The sequence below is a fragment of the Homo sapiens genome, chromosome 3 (assembly GCF_000001405.40).
Source record: "Homo sapiens chromosome 3, GRCh38.p14 Primary Assembly".
Taxonomy (NCBI): domain Eukaryota; kingdom Metazoa; phylum Chordata; class Mammalia; order Primates; family Hominidae; genus Homo; species Homo sapiens.
In genome coordinates this window covers 162,112,881-162,120,818 of record NC_000003.12, presented here as the reverse complement: position 1 = coordinate 162,120,818, position 7,938 = coordinate 162,112,881, and the positions used below count along the sequence as shown (strand labels likewise).

Here is a 7,938-nt window from a genome sequence, read left to right as displayed (position 1 = left end):
TTTGCCTGTAGATGCTTTAACAGTTTTCCTCATATGTGATACATTCTCTGAATCCTTGTATATCCACAAATATTTACCTTTAGCCCCAACAGCTAAATGTCATCTTGGTTGGTATTTGATTGTTGTTTTATCTCAATTGCTCAAATGTAATACAAAAGAAAACTCCAAGACCACCCTAATTTATTTGTTACTTTTATTTTTCTTTCTTTTCTTCCAGAAACTAGGATAATCTCTATTCCTATAGGCTGATATTATTTCAGAATATGGTTTTGTATAGCCTTTCTAATCAATAGAGGCAGATTGAAAATGTGCAGTACATTGTAAAATTTTCTCCAGTCTATTTGTTATTTTTTGTTTTATTATATTTTAGCTATAGTCTCAAACCCAATTATTCCTATATTTTTCCTTCTAGTAGCCAGTTATTTCCAAATTAATTTTTCTGGATCTTCTGATTCTCTCATCTCTTCCCTCATGATTTCCATAATAGGATTTTTACTCTGTGTTTTCAGTACTGTGTCCACTTCTTCCAGGATCCTCCTCCAGGCCACAATTCAAATCTCAATAGTAAATATACACTGCATTTTATCTATAGGATTTTTACATTTAAAAAACAAATTTTGCATTACAGAAAATAACATTTATACTATAATCAAGTCTCTGTATATACTTATTTATTTTCTTCATGTTCTTATTAGTTGCTGTCAGCAATGTTATTTCATTGAATTCCACCTGTTTAGGGTATTCTAATAATTACGTTTCATTCATTCATTGATTCATTCTCTCCCTGCCACCTTCTGCTAAAATCCTACAGTTTAGTAGGCTAGTACTATATTTTTTCTATTGCTTACTTATTCCTCTGTTTTATTTAGGGGTACAGGACCAAGAGTTGTGATGGGTTACATGGTGGCTTTGTTATTTGTACCGTATAGCAGTCTGTCCTGGTAAGTGTGTGGTGGACAGTCAGGCAAGCTTCCAGGCTTCAGTCAAAGTTCCAGAAAAACATCAGTTTGTTCCCTGGCACCTGATAAAGATATAAAGAGATCCTTTCCCGAGTTATCCATGATCCAGTGCCACTTTTCCTTATTGTCCTAATTTTCACAATACAAGCTTTCTTTAAGAATACCTGTATTCTTATCATTGTCTCAAGACTTAACTGCTTTCAGCCTGAACCCCAGAAGTAAATAAATGTTGTCTATTTCTCTCTTTTAGGGCCTGGAATATTTCAGAATCATCTTTCTATTCTCCAGGCCTTATTTGTTTGCAAGTCCACAGAAGATGCCTCAATCATTAAAGAGTTGTTTTTAGTTAAATAAGAAATGGAATCATAGTAAAAGGAGAGTCAGGGAAGAGTGTGTGGTTGCCTTGGATGGGTCCTAAACTGTCTTTATTCTCTTGAACTATTAAAAAAAATTGATTAAAAAACAGGCCTTAAATGGAATAAAAAGTTAAAAAACAGGCCTTAAATGGAATAAAAAGTCCACCAAAAATAATACATTAACACAAATATGAAAGACTGAGAAAAGCATATTAAAATATTACTTAAAAAATATCAAGATCTATGGAGAAATATATCCTGGTCTTGATTCAATAGCAAATATATCCTAAAATTTGATCTTTATGTATAATTTTACAAAAAAATTTCTTTGATTTTTTTGTTTTTAAGTGATAGATACTAATTTTAGAGTGAACATCAAAAAGAATAACTAGGAGAAAAAATAAAAAAAGAAAAGTGAAGAGTGGAATAGTTCTACCAGATATGAAATCTCAGCTCAAAGGTACTAGCACAAACAAAAGCAGAAAGAAAATGGAATCATTAAAAGAAAGAGACCAAAACAAACAAACAAACAAACAAAGATTTGCATATATGGATTCAATGTCTGATAAAAGTGCCACTTAATCTTTGATTTAAACAAACACACAAAAATAGTAAGATTTCAGAACAAGAAAAACTAACTTATATTAATATAATTCAAAAGAGTGGTAGGTTGCTCATGAAGGGGGTGTATTGACCTAAAAAAGATGTGAGGCAAGCTTCTGATTTGAAGGAAATATTCTATATCTTAATTAGGCTGTTGATTATAAGGATGTATATTTTTTTCAAAACACATAGAATTTTATGTCTAAGACCTGTGAATAATTCTTTTATATATAGTTACCTCAAAATTAAATACCTAATAATTTACTAAAGATATAGTAAAACAAAAAATAGCAAACAGCACAATTACATGTTTATCTGGATGTGTATCCAGTTATCCTATCAATCCTTCTGTATGTATACATATAGATGTTTTGAATTGTTGTTTTTGTTTAAGAAGAGTTGGGGCTTTTAAAATTTATTTTTGGTTAGTGTGTGTGTGTGTGTGTGTGTGTGTGTGTGTGCATATTAATATGTGAAAGGGTTATAGAACCAAAGTCAAAAAAAAAAAAAGAAAAAACAGAAAGAATCTCAGAATCCTCTTCTCTTCCAGTCCAGACTGGATTGATAACTTTGTATGTTATTTACAATTGTAAGCCCTTAATTTTGTTAAATTAAATGTATGAGAGGCCATTGTTTTAGACTGAGCTCCTGTACTAGTCCCCAACAGACCAAACCAAAATAATGTCACTCATGTTAAATGCCACATTACCGAACTGAAACTTAAAAAAAGAAACCAAGAAAATCACCAAAAAGGCTAGTTTTCAAAAGAATAAAAGGGTTGTAGCTACCAAGCAAGAGGTCCAGTCAACTTGAGCCAGCCTGATAAGTAAGTCCCCTCTGTTTTAACCCTTACAAAGAAAGTAACCTGAAGTAACCTGATGTTAGCCATCTGCTTTTTGTGCTATGACATTTCCTTGTTCTTACTCAAGCTACCTTACAAAAACTAATAGAGCTTCTTTCTATTGTGTACATTGGATGCTGCCCAGTTTATAAGTTGCTAAGAAAGCCAATTAGATCTTTAAAACTCGATTTGTTGAAATTTTGTTCTTTGACAATTTGATGTGCCATATTGCTCAGGGACTCACTTCTCTCATTGCATACTTGCTTTTGTTTATAGATTTATCTCTGTATAATATATTTTTCTCCTCTGAAATCTTCTTTTTTATTCTTTTTACAGTATACTAAAATCTTCCTTCATCAGTTGAAAGGAAAGTGGCTTTTTAGATGCTCTCTTAAGAATCACTTCTGAATTGCACTGCCTCATGTTTTTCCTGACATGTTATAAAATTCATTAAGAACTTAGCTTCCTCCTTACATCAATCTAACTTATACTCATAGATACAGCTTGTAGTCCTATTGTAGGTAAAATTATATTTTAAAAGGAAAAAATAAATGTAAAAAGAAAATAATTTCTGATTAGATGCTCTGGAATCTGTTTAAATATAATATGACTGCTTATTCTAAGCCTGACAACTTAAAGGTGCCTTATTAAGACAAGATTAAATAAGTATAATAAAATTTATATTTTATCAGCTTGTATGTTTGTATTTGTTTTGTATTTATCCTGTATTTGCTTCTTACTGAAGTTTTGAATATGAGCAAATTTTACATTTGTGAAAGTCAAACCTGTTTGTGGTAAATACTGTTTTTTTTTTTTCAATATCATAAGCAGTCAAAAAAAAACTCATAGATTTAAATCTTGGGGGTGAATAATTTAAGATGTGTTTTTCTAGGTTGGAAATTATAAACAATTTAAAGGGCTCATAAGTTTGTATATTTTTATGTTAATATTTCTATATCTCAGTTTCACTTAAACATTTTAATAGAGGACTTTTAAATGAAAAATGCTGAGGAAATGACTGGCTAATGATGCCTATAAGCTTCTAAACATTAATTTAACTATTTACCCACAATCCGCTCCCACCCATTTAAATAAAAGGAGAATACCTTACACACTACAAAACATCTCTCTAACTTCCATATTATGGTCCTCTGCAAGTACTGCATGGCACTAATGCCCAGAAGTGAAGATCATGAAGGCATTACCATAAAAAGTCTAATGCTATATTTATCACAGAGTATGTAAACGTCAAGTGTAGTGGCGTTGGGCCTAAAAAGATTTTTTAAATTCTTTTTTTCACTGCTTTATTAGCATTATAATGCTACAAGAGAAAAGAATCTAACAGCTACATTATGGATTTATGCAAATTACTTACCACAAACTAAGCAAAATAGCAGACAACTTTATACAAGGGGAAAACGTTCCTAAGCAGGTGCAATAGAATTCTTTCATGACTGTCAAAAAGCACACCCTGTGAACTCTTTCTTGAATTAATTTAGAATAATTTCCTCCAAATATAGAAGTCTTCATTTAGACTACCAACTTAGAGTGGCCTTCTAAATGCCAAGCAAACATTCTTTATTATACCTTCTATTGGATTATGTGCAAAGGATTAACTGAAAAGAAATTTCTTTCAGTGTTTCAAGGATTTTTAGTATTAAATATTTACTAATGTTTAAGTATTTATTGTTTTTTTTCTAATCACTATTTGGCTAGCTCACTCTCTGTATTTTAAAAACAAGGTTAATATCTACTTCTAATTTATTACCTTTCCAGTTCAGAATACCCCCTGTTCTTATAATATGATGCAGAATAAATTAGACCTCATTGATTTCCATTATAATCATAGCTATTGTGTAGCCCTTATCATTATATCTGTCATTCGCTTTCTTTTCTCTCTTAGGTAAATAATGACAATATTTTCAAATATTTTTAATAATTTCTAAATAAAGGGCAACCTTGTGCCTTTTATTGGGACTATTCTACTTCTCAACTTGCTTAATCAACCGTTTAAATTTAAAGTAAACAAACTTGACTATTGAATTTAAAATGAAAATATACTTTGATAGAGAATTTGATTGCTTTTTCAGGCTAATAGTGGGATTGAGAGAGATTTATCACAGCCAGTTATAAACTTGCATACAAACAGCTTATATCAACACAAATACTTGAAATATTCGAGATTATATTGTAGGCATTTTTCCCCAAAAGAATTAACCCTCCAAAGTATTTAATGGCATCAAAAGAAAAGCTCCCAATAACAGAGTAATTAGGGAGAAAGCGGGCTTAATTCATGAGAAAAAAAACACAAATTTCACAAATAATAAATTATATCTTACATTTTCATATATAATGTAATTGGAAATATGTTTTACTTTTCCATCAAATGTATTTAAATAATGTAATTGTTATTTTAAAAACTCAACTCTTTAACCTTAAAAACAAAGCAAATCTTAGAATACTTAAAACGCAAGGTTTAAAAGATCTTATAAACATCCATTAGCGTATAAGATTTTGTTTAAATAAGCCCCTAAAAACTTGTTACTGAAGGTTAAAAAGAAACATCATCTGTACTAATATAGAAGAAAGTGGTACCATGTGTATCCTTCTTCAATAGTGAGAAATTCTGAGTCCTGGAGGACAATTTGGGCTGCTGAGTAGTATTAATCAAAACCCTTTACAATGTGCAATCTTACTTTGGGAATTTGTCCCAAGGAAAGAGTTATAATGTTCATTGCCTTTTTGTTTATTACAGTGAAAATACAAACCCACATCGGAAAATCCACCAGTAAATTATTAGCTAAACAATGGTATATGCACAAAATTCAAATCAGTGCAGTCATTAAATATAATATTTATTGACATTGAAAGATGTTCAGATATTAAAAATTAAATAAACAATCAATGACATAATATAAAAATGTGCAGAAAAGAGTTAACACAGCAGACCTTACTGCTATTCTTTGAAAGATGTGTTTACAAAATTGACTCTTGGCTGACATCTGGGAATGTAGATTTCGGGAGGGTTCCCACCAAGACAGATATGAATGGCTCATTTGTGTAAACTGTGCAAAAAATATGGTTTATAGTGAATATCCGTCTTCTGGAAGTCTGGAATTCAGGTATGCACCAGGCAGGGTGCCTGCATGTTCAACTACCAATAAAAATCCTGGGCACTTAGTTTCTTAAGAACTTCCCTGGTTGACAACATTTCACACGCGCTGTCAAAACTCATTGCTCATGGAATTAAGGTTGTCCTGAATCCTGTGTAACTCTGCTAAGGAGAGAACCCTTGGAAGCTTGCACATGGTTTTCCCAGGCTCTGCCTCATGTACTTTTTTCCATTGCTGATTTTTCTTTGTATCCTTTTCTGTAAGAAATCATAGTCTTAAGTATATCACCTGTTGACTCATTCTCATGAGTACCCAAAGCTGGGGGTACTCTTGGTGACCCCTGACATGACACAGAAACATACAATCTATTTTTTTCATGCTTTTATATTATTACATATTTGTTTATTTTTAGAACCTTTACATAAACATACAATCTATTTTTAGATGTACAAATATTTACTAATAAATAAGAAAACACAAAATAACATGTTAAGAATATGAGTGGTGAATCGCAAATCATTTTTTCTTGATCTTAGTCATCAGTATTGCTATTCCATCTACAATGAGCTTGTATTACTTTTGTAATTAAAAATATATATATATAGATATTTAAATTATTTAATTATTTTTCTCTTGTACCTGAAATTCAAATGAGAATCGTAGAATAAATGTAATGTTTACAAAAGTGCAATATGGCTTGATGTAATGAAATCAAAGGTCAGTACTAAATACATAGAAAGAAGGTGTGGATTAACTTTCATATTATAAAGAAAATTCAAAATATTAATTATTCACTGCTTTTGAAACATTTCATTATTTGCTAAAATATATAAAATTAGCCTACTGTTATTTTGCTTCCTAAAACTTTTTCAAATAAAACTAATTAAATTCAGAGCAAAAGCCAACATTTTGTATTTGAAATTTAGAAAATTTTAACATGTGGCTAGAATTTTAACATTGAGCTTAAACATAAGTTGAGCTTCCTCATGGCATTGTTTTTCAACAAGAGTAATTTGTGTTTAAGTGTGAAGCGTTATTGAAATTTTTACTTGTTATTTTCTCATGTTCATGTATTTATGGGAGATAATTGAGGGAAAAATTTTAGGAAAAATAAACAAATGGACACATACTGAATAGATTTGCAAATACTGATTAATTTGTTTCTAATGTAAAGAAAGCTGAGAAAGAAATTATTTAGCTACAATATTTAAATAAAAATGAAAGAGTATTACATTTATTTACAACAAACTCTTAATCTACATGTGTATTAGTTTTAAATCATTTCACCCAGCAATAAAACTTAAGTTTTTTCCTACTTCAAATGAATAGACCATAGTGGTAGAGTCTACAAGTTTGGTCTTTGGACAAGAGCATAAATTTTAAGTCATTTTAATTTTCACCTACACAATGTATATACTTTTTATTTTTCTGTATCAGAAATAAAGACTTTCAAATATTTAGGTTTGGATTTAACTTGGCTCTTGGAGGTAGGCGAACATGGCAATGTATATGTTCGGAGATACGGAAAGTATGATTCTTAATTTTTTTTTAAATAACTTGTATAAGCGTTCATTATGTAGGTATTTTTCTTTGTGAAATGATTTGTGATACTTCACGTTATAAAGCAAAAACCTAGAAAAAATAAAATTCCAGTTAAGCACATATGTTTCATAATTTTTAAAAGGTTAAATAAAATATATTTATTCTTTTGCTAAGGATTTCACTCTCTTTTAAACATATATGAAATGAGCTACATTGCATTTCAAAGTACAACTTTCTGCATGTTAAAATATAATTCTTATCTAGTGCATAGCAAGAAGATTTTCACTGTTATTTTTTTTTATTTGGGGTTATTAGGATTTTTTGGTTTTAATGGGACACATTGAATGTTTGCCTTCTATGTTTAAAGCTGCCATTGAGGTTTCCTACCTCTTTTCATTTAATAGAAAACTTCTGGGCCACTCTATTGTTTAAGGTCTCTGGTGAAATCACACACTCTTCAGTGTTTGACTGTTTATTTGGTTTGGCTGCCACTGTGGGAACAATTTAGATGGCTTGAAGAATGT

General features: G+C 30.4%; 1 annotated feature.

The window, feature by feature from the left end:
- Window positions 625–794: an enhancer, noted in NCBI's record as "experimental_66022 CRE fragment used in MPRA reporter constructs". NCBI's record gives its function as "activates a minimal promoter by MPRAs in K562 erythroleukemia cells, with activity observed for both the introgressed and non-introgressed 3:161837898 variant alleles {active_cell/tissue: K562}" and the evidence as "EXISTENCE:reporter gene assay evidence [ECO:0000049][PMID:34662402]".